Genomic DNA, 16,768 nt, shown 5'->3' with positions numbered 1-16,768 from the left:
TTAGGAATCCAGTGGTCTGGGTTTGAATTTTGGCTTTAACCACTTACTAGATGTGACTATGGGCACGTTCTTTGACTTCTCTGAGCCTTAGTTACACAGTCTGTAAAACAGGAATAATAATAAACCTATCTGTGGAGATTTTTTTTTTTTTAGATAGAGTCTCACTCTGTTGCCCAGGCTGGAGTGCAGTGGCGTGATCTCAGCTCACTGCAACCTCTGCCTCCCGGGTTCAAGGGATTCTCCTGCCTCAGCCTCCTGAGTAGCTGGGATTACAGGAACCCACCACCACGCCTGGCTAATTTTTGTATTTTTAGTAGAGATGGGGTTTCACCATGTTGGCCAGGCTGGTCTCGAGCTCCTGACCTCAGGTGATCTTCCCTCCTCGGCCTCCCAAAGTGCTGGGATTAGAGGAGTGAACCACCATGCCTGGCCAATCTGTGGAGATTTTTAAGGTTGCATAGAAATATTCAGTGTCGCCACTGTGAGAGTCCCAGGTGGACTGTGTTATGCTATAATTACAGGTATCCCCCAGGCTAAAAGAACAGAAGCTATTTGGAATATTGCCAGTTGCCATGGCAGAGGGGAAAAGAGTCTTCTGACACATTATGGTCTAGCTCTTAGTCCTTAAAGTTTTGGCTGGGTGTGGTGGCTCATGCCTGTAATCCCAGCCCTTTGGGAGGCCGAGGTTTGCGGATCACCTGAGGTCAGGAGTTTGAGGCCAGCCTGATCAACACGACAAAACCTCGTCTCTACTAAAAATACAAAAATTAGCTAGGCATGGTGGAGGGTGCCTGTAGTCTCAGCTACTGGGGAGACTGAGGCGGGAGAATCACTTGAACCCAGTAGGTGGAGGTGTTGCAGTGAGCCGAGATCGTGCCACTGCACTCCACTCCAGCCTGGGTGACAGAGTAAGACTCGTCTCTGGAAAAAAAAAAAATTAGCTAGGCATGGTAGCTCGTGCCTGTAGTTCCAGCTACTTGGGAGGCTGAGGCACAAGAATCCCTTGAACCCGGGTGGTGCAGGTTTCAGTGAGCTGAGATTGTGCCACTGCCCTCCAGCCTGGGTAACAGAGTGAGACTCCATCTCAAAAAAAAAAAAAAAAAAAAGAAAAAGAGATTTCAGTATGGATTTTGGAGGATCACCAAATTCAGATCATAGCAATACTTGTGCTATAAAAGCCAAATGCAGAGTCCTGTGTTAAGGAACTCCACCAAAGTACATGAGAAGGAAGAAGAAGCAGCAGCTTTGCCAAAATGATTTGATAAAAGAGAGAAATAATGTATTCAGAGAAAAGGGGAGGAACTCAATCTTTGTCTAAGGTGAACTTCCAAATCAACTCATTAATAAATGCTCCAATAAAAACAGTGTACTTGTTATGCGTGAAATGCTGTTTTAATATTCATACATATAAGAAAGGTAATGATAGGTGTTTACCATAGACTGTTTGGAGTCTGATCTTTTTTTTTTTTTTGAGACGGAGTCTCGCTCTGTCACCCAGCCTGGAGTGCAGTGGCGTGATCTCCGCTCACTGCAACTTCCGCCTTCCCAGTTCAAGCTATTCTCTTGCCTCAACCTCCTGAGTAACTGGGATTACAGGCACACGCCACCACGCCTGGCTAATTTTGTATTTTTAGTAGAGACAGGGTTTCTCCATGTTGGTCAGGCTGGTCTTGAACTCCCGACCTCAGGTGATCCGCCTGCCTCGGCCTCCCAAAGTGTTGGGATTATAGGCATGAGCCACAGCCCTGGCACCGGAGTCTGGTCTTATACTTGATTCACTGAGTAGCTCAGTTACTTAGTTGCTCCCTGCATCAAAGAGGCTCTTATAGTAATAGCAGCTATTAGCAGCTGGCAACTATTTTACACACATACATCATCTCTAATTTTCAAAAGAGTTCTGCAAGGAAGGCATTTGTTGTAGGCAGAATGTCTAAAATGGACCCTAAAGATGTCCTTTATCTCTGGAACCTGTGAATATGATGAGATTTCACTCTGATGATTATATTATGTTGTATGGCACAGTTGACCTTAAGAAAGAGTGATTATCTGGGTGAACATGAGCTGCTAAAGCAGAAAGCGGCAGGCATGGTGGCCCATGCCTGTAATCCCAGCACTTTGGGAGGTCAAGGCAAGAGGATCACTTGAGCCCAGGAGTTTAAAATCAGCCTGGGCAACATAGCGAGATCCCCACTCTACAAAATAAATAAGTAGATAAAAAAAAGAATAAAAGCAGAGAGCTTTCTCTGGCTGAGAGCAGAAGTCAGATGTTTTCCAAGTGTCAGAAGGGTTAGGTGTGTAGTTGCTGCTTTGGAATAGAGGGTCACTGTGGAGGAAGGGGGCAGGCTTAAGGAGCTGAGAAATGGCCTCTGCTGACAGCCAGTGAGGAAACAAGGCCTCGGTCCCACAACTGCAGGAACCTACATTCTGCTGACAACAGGGATGAGCTTGGAGGAAGACCCTGAGCTCTAGGTGAGGACACGGACAACCAACATCTTGATTTCAGCGTTTCAAGGCTCTTAGCAGAAAACCTGGTTACGCCATCTGGGGCCTCTGGCCTACAGCACTGTGAAATGATGAGTGGGAGTAGCTCTTACCCTCTAGATCTGTGCTAATTTATTACACAGCAGTAGAAAACTAATAAAGCATTCATACCCTCCTCCTGCAGAGGAGGAAACTGAGGTTCAAGGAAGTTTAGTAAATGTGGTGAAAACTATCTTGAGAATGTGGTTAGGGCAGGATTTGATGCAGGCAGACAGACCTACCCACGTCACCATTCAGTAATGTGTTAACCAACCAAGATCCACAGGATGCAAAAGGAATAAAGCTCTTGATAGAGGGAAGGATGACTCAGCTTTCTACTCAGTTTTAGAATGACTCGGATTCTTATTTACTATTGGCTGAACAATGGCTTGGGTTTCTGCAAGGATCTTGATCTGTGGGAGTGGCTCCCACGTATCTGCTCTGTTGAGATGTATTAGCTTGTCTCCTTTTTTCGCTACAAGCATTAGATGACTGATTTCCAAACGAGTGAAGCTGAATGGATTTAGCCAGATTAACATTCTAACAGCAAGAAACAGGGGAAGAAAAGGCAAATCCTGGGGCGCTTTGTTAACACACGGAATCACTCACACAAACATACTCAGGAAAAGCCTTCTCTCCGAGGCCTAGCTTTGTAGATATTCAGCTTCCTGAAGACACGCCAGTTTTAAAAGGAGGAGTTCCAAAGAGCACTTACCATCAGGACCTGGCCCCAGCTCTTCATGTGACCTTTCCTTCCTCTTTCCGGCTCACTCCACTCCAGCCGCAGGACCTCTGGACCCTCCCTTGAGTTATGCTAAACTCCTGCCTGCCTTGGGCCACTGTGCCTCTGTTCTCTTTGGCGTGGAATATTCTTTCTCTAGTTCATGTCGTTAATTCACTCAGATCTCTGCTCAAGTGGCATCTGACTGGAGTGTCTTTCCCTGACCAACTTATTTAAAGCAGCGCTGTTCCCTGCCCGTCACTGTCTCCTTATCCTGCTTTATTCTTTTTTTTTTTTTTTTTTTGAAGAGGGGGTCTTGCCCTGTCTCCCGGGCTGGGGTGCAGTGGCACGATCTCGGCTCACTGCAACCTTCACCTCCCAGGTTCGAGCGATTCTCGCGTCTCAGCCTCCCAAGTTGCTGGGACTACAGGTACGTGCCACCATGCCTGGCTAATTTTTGTATTTTTAGTAGAGATAGGGTTTCACCATGTTGGCCAGGCTGGTCTCGAACTCGTGACCTCAGGTGATTCACCCACCTTGGCCTCCCAAAGTGCTGAGATTACAGGCGTGAGCCACCGCGCCGGCCCCTGCTTTATTCTTCTTCATAGCACTTTGGCTACCTGATATGCCTCAGATGTACAAATATGTTTATTTGTTTGTCATTGCCTTTCTCCCGCATGAGGTTTTGTTTTATTCATTGCTGTATTCCCAGTATCCACAATAATTTACAGCACATAGTAGGGAATCAAATATTTGTTGAATGAATTAATGAATCAAGAACAAAAGCACTGCATCTGTTAAATGATTTGGCATTCCTGAGCTATTTCTGCACCTAATCTCTCTCTCTCTCTCAGGGGTATTTGCTAATGGGTCTAATATGGGAAAGATACTTAATTCCATGGTTGTACAAAATCTAGAATACAGAAGATTAAAACCTGGAGACAAGGCCGGGTGCAGTGGCTCAAGCCTGTAATCCCAGCACTTTGGGAGACTGAGGTGGGCAGATCATCTGAGGTCGGGAGTTCAAGATCAGCCTGACCAACATGGAGAAACTCCATCTCTACTAAAAATACAAAATTAGCCAGGCATTGTGGCACACGCCTGTAATCTCAGCTACTTGTGAGGCTGAGGCAGGAAAATCGCTTGAACCTGAGAGGCGGAGGTTGGAGTGAGCCAAGACTGCACCATTGTACTCCAGCCTGGGCCACAAGAGCGAAACTCCGTCTCAAAAAAAACCAAAAAAACAAAAACCTGGAGACAGTGTGGTGTAAGAATGAAGTCCTTCAGGCCAGGCGCAGTAGCTCACGCCTGTAATCCCACCACTTTGGGAGCCGAGGTGGGTGGATTGCCTGAGGTCAGGAGTTCAAGACCAGCCTGGCTAGCATGGTGAAACCCCGTCTCTACTAAAAATACAAAAATTAGCCGGGTGTGGTGGCACACACCTGTAGTCTCAGCTACTCAGGAGGCAGGAGAATCACCTGAACCCAGGAGGCGGAGGTTGCAGTGAGCTGAAATGGCAACACTGCACTCCAGCCTGGTGGTGACAGAGTGAGATTCCGCCTCAAAAAAAAAAAAACAAAAAAAAAAACGAATGAAGTCCTTCCTTGCCTTTCAATAGGCGTGTGACCTAGGAAAAGTCATTTACTTCTTTTAGCACCAGATGTCTTATCTTTTAAATGCGGGTAATGATAGGGTGCTGTTTGGAAGGACTAGAGCAGATGGGATCTGGCGATTTCTTCTTACACTAAGATACTTTGAAATTAGAGCTCAGTTGGTAGGGAATTAGGAAATGTTGGTTTTAGCCCTATGTTAAATGTAAACTGAGTGTATAACATAGGGCTAGTCCTTTAACCTCTCTAGAACTCCAGATAAACCAGAATTTCTTTGAGGTCCCTTTGAGGTCAGCTCTCAATCACCTGCAGGCATTGGGAGGAACCAGGTTGACCAGATGTCCTGGTGTTTGTGAGACCTTAATCTCTGTCCCTCCAGGGCTTGAGTCCACCTGTTGTTTGGTAGAGGTGAGGCTTGTAAAGTAGGTATTTTCTGTAAGTATTTTCAGTAAGTATTTTCTGAGCACATGTTTTGTGTCATGTGCTGGGGATACCACAGTGAACAATGCAGACAAGGCCCCTGTCCTCTCACATTCTAGGGATAAGAAACAGACAATAAACAGGTAAATGGAAAATAAATCAAGACCGGGCGCAGTGGCTCACGCCTGAAATCTCAGCCATCTGGGAGTCCGAGGTGTGCGGATCACCTGAGGTCAGGAGTTCGAGACTAACCTGGTCAACATGGTGAAATCCCCCATCTCTACTAAAAATACAAAAATTAGCCGGGCATGGTGGCGCACGTGTGTAATCCCAGCTACTCGGGAGGCTGAGGCAGGAGAATCGCTTGAACCCGGGAGGCAGAGGTTGCAGTGAGCCAAGATCACACCACTGCACTCCAGCCTGGGTGATAGAGTGAGACAGTCTCAAAAAAAAAAAAAAGAAAGTAAAAAAGAAAATAAATCAAGACTAGTGTGATATTGCAGTATAATAAAAAATATATATTTAGTCTTTGTCTTCATTTCCCGCCTAGAGCTCCTAAAACCTTTGTAATTTCCCAAGTGATAATTTGAAAAGAGTGTCTTTTGTTACTCATAAAAAGCCCCTTTCAACTATACCTGAGTTTTTTGTTTTGTTTTTGTTTGGTGACAGGGTCTCACTCTGTCACCCAGACTGGAGTGCAGTGGCATGATCACAGCTCGCTGCAGTCTCGATTTCCTGGGCTCCAGCAATCCTCCTGCCTCAGCCTCCCAAATAGCTGGGACTACAGGCACATGTCTGGCTGTATTTTAAAATACATCTGGCTAATTTAAAAAAATTTTTGTAGAGGCAGGGTCTCACTGCGTTGCCCATGCTGATCTTGGGGTCCTCCTGCCTTGGCCTCCCACAGTGCTGGGATTACAGGCATGAGCCACTGCACCCGGCCTACACCTTCACAAGTTCGTGAAGTGACTTTGGGAAAACCCCTAAGGAGGGGGCGCTGGCTGTCAGGGGAGCTATCTTTGTGATTAGACAGTTGAAACTTTCGGCCCCACCGTTCAACCTCTGGGGAGAGTCGGAGGGTTAAAATTTGAGTTCAATCAGTAATGGCCAGTGAGTTAATCAATCATGCCCACATAACGGAACCTCCATAAAACCCCTACACAACAGGGTACAGAGACCTTCCAAGTGAGTGAACAAACACATCAAGATGCTGGGAGGTCAAAAGGATGTGGCTGGAGAGAAAAAAAAAAAGATGCTGGGAGGGTGGCATGTTTGGAGAGCATGGAAGCTCCACCTGTCCTCATACCTTGCCCTGTGCATCTTTTCCACCTGGCTGCTCCTGAGTTGCATCCTTTACAATGAACTGGGTGATGGTACGCAAAGCGTGCTCCTGAGTTCCGTGAGCCATTCTAGCAAATTATGGAACCCAAAGAGGGGATTGTGAGAACCCTTTATTTATAGTTAGTTGGTCAGAAGTATAGGAAGCCCACCGGTTCCTGCACAGTTTTCTGGGCATAGCAGCTGTTCTCCTTCCTACTCCAGCTGTTTCAGGAGCAACAGAATCAAGGTCCTCTAGGCTCAGGGAGACAGGTTATGAATTTAGACCTTGACCTTAGGCCTTGACAACAGCAGATAACTACTAATTAGAACTGGGTGGCTGGGCCAGATGCAGTGGCTGACACTTGTCATCCTAGCACTTTGGGAGGCCAAGGTGGGAGGATCACTTGAGGTCAGGAGTTCAAGACCAGCCTGGCCAACAAGGTGAAACCCTGTCTCTACTAAAAGTACAAAAATTAACTGGGCATGGTGGCATGCACCTGTAATCCCAGCTACTCAGGAGGCTGAGGCAGGAGAATCACTTGAACCTGGGAGGCAGAGGCTTTTTTGAGACTCCGTCTAAAAAAAAAAAAAAAACACTGTAGGAATCCCAGGCTTGCATTTTGGCATCAAAGGGTAGTCTTATGGGACTGAGCCCTTCCCCAGTGGGGTCTGTGCTAACTCCAGACAGTTAGTGTCAGAATTGAGATAAATTGTAGGACACCCAGCTGTTGTCTGCAGAGAATTGGTGAATCGCTTCGTGTGAAAAACCTACCTGGTTTTCCTGACATGTGTTGTGTTGTCAGAAGTGTTCTGTAGGAGTATAGAAAAAAAGGGTTCTTTTTTTCCTTTTCACTAGTGATAAGTGCTAGGCAGGAAATAGAAGAATGATATCATAAAGAATAGCAGATAGGATCTGTTGAGTTAACTCAGATCAGGAAAGGCCTTTCTGGAGCATTTAAACTGAGCTTTAAGGGATGAGAAGAATCCAGCCATGGGAAGAGCCTTCCAGGCAAGGGAAAAGGCGAGCACAACCCTCGAGGCCTTGAGGATGGAAAGGGCCGGGCTGCCTTAGAACCAGACCAAGGCCAGTGTGCAGAGGGTGTAGTGATTGAAGGCACAGTGGATGAGGTGAGGCTGTGAGGCAGGCAGGAGCTCTTCATGTGAGTGAGGCCTTAAAGGCAATGGTTAGGGGGAACCATTGCCCCAGTTTGCCCAGAACTGAGGGTTTCCTGAAATGCAGGACTTTCAGTGCTGAAATCAAGAAAGTCTTGGGCAAAACAGGATGAGGTCACCCTAGCCATGGTAAGGAATTGTGCCAAGCTGATATTGTGCTGTACTTAGTCTGCAATAGGCAATCACTGAGGGTTGTTTTTTTTTGAGACAGTTTCGCTCTTGTTGCCCAGGCTGGAGTGCTATGGCGCGATCTCGGCTCACTGCAACCTCCACCTTCCAGTTTCTTTCTTTCTATTTTTTTTTTTGAAACGGAGTCTCACTCTGTCGCTCAGGCTGGAGTGCAGTGGCGCGATCTGGCCTCACTGCAAGCTCTGCCTCCTGGGTTCACGCCATTCTCCTGCCTCAGCCTCCCGAGTAGCTGGGACTACAGGCACCCGCCACCATGCCCGGCTAAATTTTTTTGTATTTTTAGTAGAGACGGGGTTTCACCGTGTTAGCCAGGATGGTCTCGATCTCCTGACCTCGTGATCCCCCTGCCTCAGCCTCCCAAAGTGCTGGGATTACAGGCATGAGCCATCTAGCCCAGCCAACCTTCTGGTTTCAAGCGATTCTCCTGCCTCAGCCTCCAGAGTAGCTGGGATTACAGGCACCTGCCACCACTCCCGGCTAATTTTTGTTTGTATTTTTAGTAGAGACAGGGTTTCACCATGTTGGCCAGGCTGGTCTCGAACTCCTGACCTCGTGATCCGCCCGTCTTGGCCTCCCGAAGTGCTGGGATTACAGGCGTGAGCCACCGCGCCCAGCCGGCAATCACTGAAAGGTTTTAAGTAGGAAATGATGCCCAGTGATTTCTGATTTTAAAGGTCACTCTGGCTTTTGTGTGGCGAATGCTTAAGAAAGGAGCAAGTTGGAAAAAGAGGTGGCCAGTTAGCCAATTATTACACTCCTCCATGCAAGAGATGATGGGGTATTGAAATAGATTGAAGATGGAGAGAGATGAATGGATACAAGATACATTTTGGAGGTAGAATGAACAGGACTTGGAAATGTATGTGGAGAAGGCAAAGGAGTTAAAGATGATATCTGGAGCAGCACAACTCACAATTGCAAAGATGTGGAACCAACCTAACTGCGCATCAAGCAATGAGTGGATAAAGAAAATGTGGTATATATACACCATGGAATACTACTCAGCCACAAAAAGGAACGAAATAATACCTTTTGCAGCAACTTGGATGGAGCTGGAGGCCATTATCCTAAGTAAAGTAATTCAGGAATGGATACCAAATATCATATGTTCTCACTTATGAGTAGATGCTAAGCTATGATGATGCAAAGACATAAGAATGATGTAATGGGCCAGGCATGGTGGCTCACACCTGTAATCCCAGGACTTTGGGAGGCTGAGGTGGGCAGATCATGAGGTTGAGTTCGACACCAGCCTGGCCAAAATGGTGAAACCCCATCTCTACTTAAAAAATACAAAAAGTAGCTGGGCATGGTGGCACACACCTGTAGTCCCAGCTACTTAGGAGGCTGAGGCAGGAGAATAGCTTGAACCCAGTAGGCAGAGGTTGCAGTGAGCCGAGATCGTACCACTGCACTCCAGCCTGGGCAACAGAGTGAGAATTTGTTTGAAAAAAAAAAAAAAAAAAGAATGATATAATGAACTTTGGGACTTGGGGTGGGGGGAAAAGTCAGGAGGGGGAAGAGGGATAAAAGACTACATTTTGGGGTACAGTGTACACTGCTCAGGTGACAGGTGCACTAAAATCTCAGAAATCACCACTGAAGAATTTATCCATGTAACCAAAAACCACCTGTACCCCCAAAACTATTGAAAGAAAATTTTTTTAAAAGATGATACATGCACTCTGGTTTTACTATCTACTTAATTGGTTTTGCCAATAGAGAGAAATCTGAGGAGAACCTGGGTGTGGAAGTTCAGAGCAGGCAAGGATGGAGGTACCTGGAGTTCCATTCAGAAGAAAATGTGATACTCAGAATGAAAACACTCTTATTGTTAATGTTCAGGGTATTTTGTAACCATTAGCTAATTAATTCTCAAAATAGTTGTTCTGAGTTGTTAATTACCTAAATCCCATTTTACAGTTTCTGGAGAAGAGCAAGTGTCAGTAATTTGCCTAAGGCTAGACTAAATTGTAGAACTGACAGCAGCACCAATTAATTCCTGGTAGTCTTATGTTCTGCCAATCTTTTAAAAGAGGAGCTCTTAGTTGGGATGAGTAAATTGAATGATGTTTGGGAGAGTAAGGCATAGACTTAATAGTCTGAGGGTTGTGCTTTGACTTTCCCTCTTATTACGTAGGTGACATGGGCACATATAAGAATAATCCTTAGTCAGGCTGGGAGCGGTGGCTCACGCCTGTAATCCCAGCACTTTGGGAGGCTGAGGTGGGTGGATCACGAGGTCAGGAGTTTGAGACCAGCCTGACCAACATAGTGAAACCCTGTCTCTACTAAAAATACAAAAATTAGCTGGACATGGTGACGCACAGCTGTAGTCCCAGCTACTTGGGAGTCTGAGGCAGGAGAACAGCTTGAACCTTAGAGGCGGAGGTTGCAGTGAGCTGAGATCACGCCACTGCACTCCAGCCTGGGCAACAGAGCAAGACTCTATCTCAAAAAAAAAAAAAAAAAAAAAAAAAAGAATAATCCTTAGTCTTAGTTTACTCATCCATAAAATAGTAATTTTTATCTTATTTTATCTTAGAAAGTCAAATGTTCAACATTTTCTTACTTTTTGCGGTGTCCTCTATCTAGAAACAATTTTGCCCAGAAAACTGTTAACCTATTAGAGAAATCTTCTTTGATCACCCTATAATAAATTAACAGCAGCCACCTTTCACCTAAAGGTACTTTTCACCCCACTTTAGCCAAGTTTGATTTCTCTTTATAGCACTTATTACCGTCTGACCTATTATATATCCATTTTTATAAGATCATAGATTTTGTCTGTTTTATTCCCTGCTAGTATCACCCATGTCTAGAACATTGCCTGGAACAATATATGAGTGCTCAATAATATTTGTTCAATAAATTAAATGAAATTATGCACATAAAATACTTAGCACAATATCTGCTCATGATAGAAACTCAGTAATTGTTAGCAGTTGCTATATCAGAATAGGAATTTGGAGACGTACTCAATTTTATACATTCCTTGCCTAAGAAACTTTTAAAGCAATATTTTTTTATATATCTTTATTAAAAATAACTTTTTTTTTTTTGAGACGGAGTCTCGCTCTGTTGCCCAGGCTGGAGTGCAGTGGCGCAATCTCGGCTCACCGCAAGCTCTGCCTGTTAGCCAGGATGGTCTTGATCTCCTGACCTCATGACCCACCCGCCTTGGCCTCCCAAAGTGCTGGGTTACAGGCGTGAGCCACCACACCTGCCCAAAAATAACTCTTTAGGCCGAGCATTTAATGCTCATACCTGTAATCTCAGCATTTTGGGAGGCCAAGGCAGGAGGCTCACTTGAGGCCAGGAGTTTGGGACCAGCCTGAGCAACATAGAGATACCCTGTCTTTATATAAAAAATAATAATAATAAATAAAATTTTAAAAATAGTCTATTCCTGGCCAGATGCAGTGGCTCACACCTGTAATCTCAGCACTTTGGGAGGCCAAGTTGGGTGGATCATTTGAGGCCAAGAGTTCAAGACCAGCCTGGCCAACATGGCTAAACTATGTCTCTATTAAAAATACAGAAATTAGCCAGTTGTGGTGGCAGGTGCCTGTAATCCCAGCTACTTGGGAGGCTGAGACACAAGAATTGCTTGAACCTGGGAGGCAGAGGTTGCAGTAGTTGAGATTGCATTACTGCACTCCAGCCTGGGAGACAGAGCAAGACTCAGTCTCAAAAAATAATAATAATAATAATTTTTAAAAATAAAATTATATATATAAAATATATATTTGGGCTATTCTTGAAACAGCATACCAGTTACGTACTTCATTTTATTAATTTACAAAAAGTCTTTATATTCCTTGGTGATTCTCATTATTATTTTGTGGATAAGTTATGTGGCTGTGAGAACAAAGCAAGCCCAGGGCTGAGTTTTTTATTTTATTTTATTTATTTGTTTTTTCTGAGATGGAGTCTTGTTCAGTTGCCAAGGCTGGAGTGCAATGGCACAATCTCAGCTCACTGCAATCTCCACCTCCTGGGTTCAAGTGATTCTCCTGCCTCAGCCTCCCAAGTAGCTGGGATTACAGGCATGCACTATTATACCTGGCTAATTTTGTATTTTTAGTAGAGATGGGATTTCACTATGTTGGTCAGGCTGGTCTGGAACTCCTGACTTCAGGTGATCCATCTGCCTCATCCACCCAAAGTGCTGAGATTACAGGTGTGACCCACCGTGCCTGGCCTCAGTTCTTTATTTTAGAAGTGGGTATCTTTTTCTCTAAACAAAAACAGAGTCAAATATATGCTATATAATCAGTGAGTTTGCAAACAAGGATTCCAGCTCCTTCTGATAGATCAAAACTAAACATGCTAGGTTTCAAATCTGGTATGGGGGAAAAAAAAAGAACTAAACATGCAAACCAACAGGTTCCTAAAACTATCGGTGAGTCAATTCAACTAGAAAAACAAAAAACACTCTCCTGGTCATGGCTGGGCCAGAGTGGGTGGAGGAAAAAGCTAAACGTTTACTCATAAAGACTCTGATTCACTTAGAAAAAGAAAAAGCCAGATGCCATGCGACTGGGATTTGTGTTCACTGCACTGAGGAGTACAGAGCCTTCGTACTCTCAGGGATGACAAGCCATTATTTCACTCTGAACACAAAGAACGGTTGCTTCGTGCACCCTTCACTATGATTAGCTCTTGCAAATAGAGGATGAAGAATTGAACCCGAGAGGACCTTGGCTGTGGGCCAAGGGCTCAGAATTATTTATTTTACTTTCGTTAAGAAAACAGTATAAGAGGGCCATGTCTAATAGCCTATTTCTTCATGGGCCCCTGATTTAGGCGCAACGGGATAATAACCACACACTCTTCTCTCTGAGAGCAATAGGAGTTTTCTTCCAAGAGACCCTGGCTGCATGTGCTGGTTTGAGCCAGTGGTGTGCTGGTGGATGTTTAACCACCAGCTTGGGGGAGGCAGAAGGGCTTGTCTGTAGTGTTTGCTGATTTCTGCAGTGTAAATATTCCCACTCTGGCTGATTTCAAGCTACTAATCTGACATCACTGAATGAAGAGTTGGGAAGAAAATGTGAAGTAGCATACTGTTATATACAATTTCCACTGTTCAAATATGGCCAGGTGCAGTGGCTCATGCCTGTTATCCTAGCACTTTGGGAGGCCGAGACAGGTGGATCATTTGATGCTAAGAGTTAGAGACCAGCCTGGCCAACATAGTGAAACCCCATCTCTACTAAAAATACAAAAATTAGCTGGGCGTCGTGGCGGGCACCTGTAATCTCAGCTACTCGGGAGGCTGAGGTGGGAGAATCACTGGAACTCAGGAGGCAGAGGTTGCAGTGAGCCAAGATCATGCCACTGCACTCCAGCCTGGGAGACAGAGCGAGACTCCATCTCAAAATAAATAAATAAATAAACAGGCTGGGTGTGATGGCTCACACCTGTAATCCCAGCACTTTGGGAGGCCGAGGCAGGTGGATCACCTGAGGTCAGGAGCTCAAGACCAGACTGGCCAACATGGCGAAACCCCGTCTCTACTAAAAATACAAAAATTAGCCGGGCATGGTGGCACATGCCTGTAATCCCAGCTACTAGTGGGGACTGAGGCAGGAGGATTGCTTGAACCTGGGAGGTGGAGGTTGTAGTGAGCTGAGATCATGCCACCGCACTCCAGCCTGGGCAACAGAGCGAGACTCCGTCTCAAAAACAAACAAACACAATTGATGTAAATAACCTTAAAAACATAAACCACAGTGAACTGTAATAAAATCATTAGGAAGTGATAAGTTTTGAGTATGTATTGCTCCATTGTAAGTGTAATGTATTTCATCGTAAGTTCATATAATTTAATTTTAGTAATGGCTGTGTTTAACAACTGGCTTACAGACTTTCTGAAAATTTAACAGTTGGCTCTCCGGAGCCCGTCAGAGCAGGTTCAAGGTGCCCTGCTGATGTGAACCCTGAGGCAGGAGTCCTGTGTGGTCTGGGGCCAGGAAGAACACAGCAGACCCATTGCTTCAAAATGGAGCTCACCATTCTCTTCAGGGGTTCTCTTTTCTCATTCTGTGAGAATTGTCATTTTAGCATGCCTTGCCTCATTTTACTCATTAGCAAAACAGAGAGAAGACCACTCCCGTTCCTGGTTATGGAGACTGTAGGCTACCTGTGATTTTACAAGGGAGGAAAGTAAGTCTCAGAAGAGTCATATAATGATAGTGGTGGTGATGATGATGATGATGATAGTTGACACTGGTTAAACTTGTACTATATACGCCAGTTACTGTGCTAGATGCCTTACGTAACATCTCATTTGAACCTCATAAAAATCATATGGGTAGGTGCTATTATTTGTATTCTCATGTTGCAGATGAGGAAACTGAGACACAGATGACTACACAGTATTTTCTGATTCCACTTCTAGAAAGAAGTTAAGTCAAGATGGAAATTCCGTCTGTCTGGGCAAATTGCTCCTGCTCACAGCTGCTATAATCATATAGTTTGTAAGTGAGGCGGGGGTTGGCAGGAGTCAAGGGTTGGGGAGTGGGGGTGGTGGTCAAACATAGGTCTTCCAGTTCCTGTGGTGGCATCAAGATTGAAAAAGGTGAACTTCTGTGGTTGGTTCATTGTTTTTATTCCTAGTTTATCTGTGGAAAAAGGAACGTTCTGAAGAATTGAACCACTTGGTTAAATGAGTTGAGTGATCAAGAATGAATGCACAAAAAAATAAAAAAGACTGTCTCTACAAAAAAATAAAAAAGATTGTCTCTACAAAAAAATAAAAAAGAATTAGCCAGATGTAGCGGTACATACCTGTGGTCCCAGCAGTGAGCTATGATCACACCACTGCACTCCAGCCTGGGCCACAGAGTGAGACCCTGTCTTAAAAAAAAAAAAAAAAAAGAGGCCAGATGCGGTAGCTCATGCCTGTAATCCCAGCACTTTGGGAGGCCGAGGGGAGTGAATGACCTGAAGTCAGGTGTTCAAGACCAGCCTGCCTAACATGGCGAAACCCTGTCTCTACTAAAAATGCAAAAAATTATCTGGGTGTGGTAGTGCATCTGTAATCCTGGCTACTTGGAGGCTAAGGCAGGAGAATCGCTTGAATGCAGAAGGCAGAGGTTGCAGCGAGCTGAGATGGCGCCACTACACTCCAGCCTGCGTGACAGAGACTCTGTCTCAAAAAAAAAAAAAAAAGGAATGATCATGGGCTTCTCCTAGGCTTCCTAAGGTGCCTTTGAAAACAGGTAACTCTCCAGATTTGAGAAAAAGTGATTGTGACAAAAACTCACATCTTCCATTTCCTTTCTTAAATAGAAATAACATGCTGTGTGTGTTAGAGATAGGACAGTTATAGATATCTTTTTTTTTTTTTTTTGAGACGGAGTCTCGCTCTTTTGCCCAGGCTGGAGTGCAGTGGCACAATCTCTGCTCACTGCGAGCTCTGCCTCCCGGGTTCACACCATTCTCCTGCCTCAGCCTCCCGAGTAACTGGGACTACAGGCGTCCACCACCACGCCCAGTTAATTTTTTGTATTTTTAGTAGAGACAGGGTTTCACTGTGTTAGCCAGGATGGTCTCGATCTCCTGACCTCGTGATCCGCCCGCCTCGGCCTCCCAAAGTGTTGGGATTACAGGCGTGAGCCACCGAGCCCGGCCTAGTTATACATATCATCATACCTTCTTTTTTTTTCTTTTTTAAGAGACAGAGTTTTACTCTGTCATCCAGGCTTGAGTGCAGGGGCACAGTCATAGCTCACTGCAGCCTCAAACTCCTGGGCTCAAGGTGATCCTCCTGCCTCAGCCTCCCGAGTAGCTGGGACTACAGGCACGTGCCACCGTGCCTGGCTTTTTAAATTTAAATAAATTTTGGCAAATCCACAAGTGGAATATTAACAGCCTTTTTAAAAGAATTAGGTGGATTCAAAAGCACATACAGAAATCAGTTACACTTTTGAATTACATTGCAACTAAAAAAAAGCAAGGGCAGAAAAGTGTGATAGTATGTCATCATTTATGCAAAAAGAGATAAAGGAAAGGTACATATGCATATATGCTTGTCTACCTGCTTCGTATCTCTAAAAGGATACACACACACACACACGCGCGCGCGCACGTACATACCCAACGGTTACCTCTCGGAGCCTAGGGGATTGGAGTGGAAGGGAGATGGGACTTTTTACAGCGTAGCATTTTATTTTATTTGTCCTTTATCCGTATGCATGCAGTACCTGTTCAAATAAATAACTTTTTTTTTTTCTTAGAGACAGGGTCTCACTCTGTCGCCTAGGCTGCAGTACAGTGGCACAATCATAGCTCACTGCAGCCTTGACCTCCCAGACTACTCTCTCAGCCTCCCAAATGTAAATTTTAAAAACCACTTTCACATACGTTATCTTTTCCATCTTCATTATAACCTTATACTATAGTAGGGCAGATTGTATTCTTCCCAGTTAGGGATGAGAAAATGGAAGTCCAAAGAAAAGTGACTGACTCAGTGTTACCCAACAATGTAAGTGGCTGAGGTCAGGTGGAGACAGCCTATGGCTCTAAAAGTAGGTGGGACTGCATCCAAATTGTCTCATTTTTAGCCCTCGTTTGTGTTTTTTCCCTCTGAGGATTCATCATTTATTAATAAACAAGGGACTTTTTTAAAAAGAAAAGGAGATAAATGTGATGTGGGAATGTTAAAAAAGAAAGAAAAGAAAGAAGAGAAGAGAAAAAAAGAAAAGAAAATCCAGGACAGGCACTGTGGCTCACTCCTGTAATCCCAGCACTTTGGGAGGCCAAGACAGGCGGATCACCTGAGGCCAGGAGTTCAAGACTAGCCTGACCA

At 44.8% G+C, this 16,768-nt stretch overlaps 3 annotated features.

Annotated features, from left to right (window-relative positions):
• Positions 2,440-3,639: an enhancer, noted in NCBI's record as "BRD4-independent group 4 enhancer chr4:40674299-40675498 (GRCh37/hg19 assembly coordinates)". NCBI's record gives its function as "activates an origin of replication core promoter dependent on BRD2, P300/CBP, MED14 and CDK7 cofactors, and independent of BRD4, by STARR-seq in HCT116 cells {active_cell/tissue: HCT116}" and the evidence as "EXISTENCE:reporter gene assay evidence [ECO:0000049][PMID:35650434]".
• Positions 12,121-12,260: an enhancer, noted in NCBI's record as "active region_21495". NCBI's record gives its function as "activates an Ori minimal core promoter by ATAC-STARR-seq in GM12878 lymphoblastoid cells {active_cell/tissue: GM12878}" and the evidence as "EXISTENCE:reporter gene assay evidence [ECO:0000049][PMID:35858748]".
• Positions 13,733-14,238: an enhancer, noted in NCBI's record as "NANOG hESC enhancer chr4:40663700-40664205 (GRCh37/hg19 assembly coordinates)". NCBI's record gives its function as "activates a minimal SCP1, AML or CMV promoter by ChIP-STARR-seq in primed H9 embryonic stem cells {active_cell/tissue: H9 hESC(primed)}" and the evidence as "EXISTENCE:reporter gene assay evidence [ECO:0000049][PMID:30033119]".

The sequence above is a fragment of the Homo sapiens genome, chromosome 4, assembly GCF_000001405.40.
Source record: "Homo sapiens chromosome 4, GRCh38.p14 Primary Assembly".
In the NCBI taxonomy this organism is placed as follows: Eukaryota; Metazoa; Chordata; class Mammalia; order Primates; family Hominidae; genus Homo; species Homo sapiens.
Note: the sequence above shows the minus strand (reverse complement) of the source record. Positions and strands in the feature narration are given on the sequence as shown.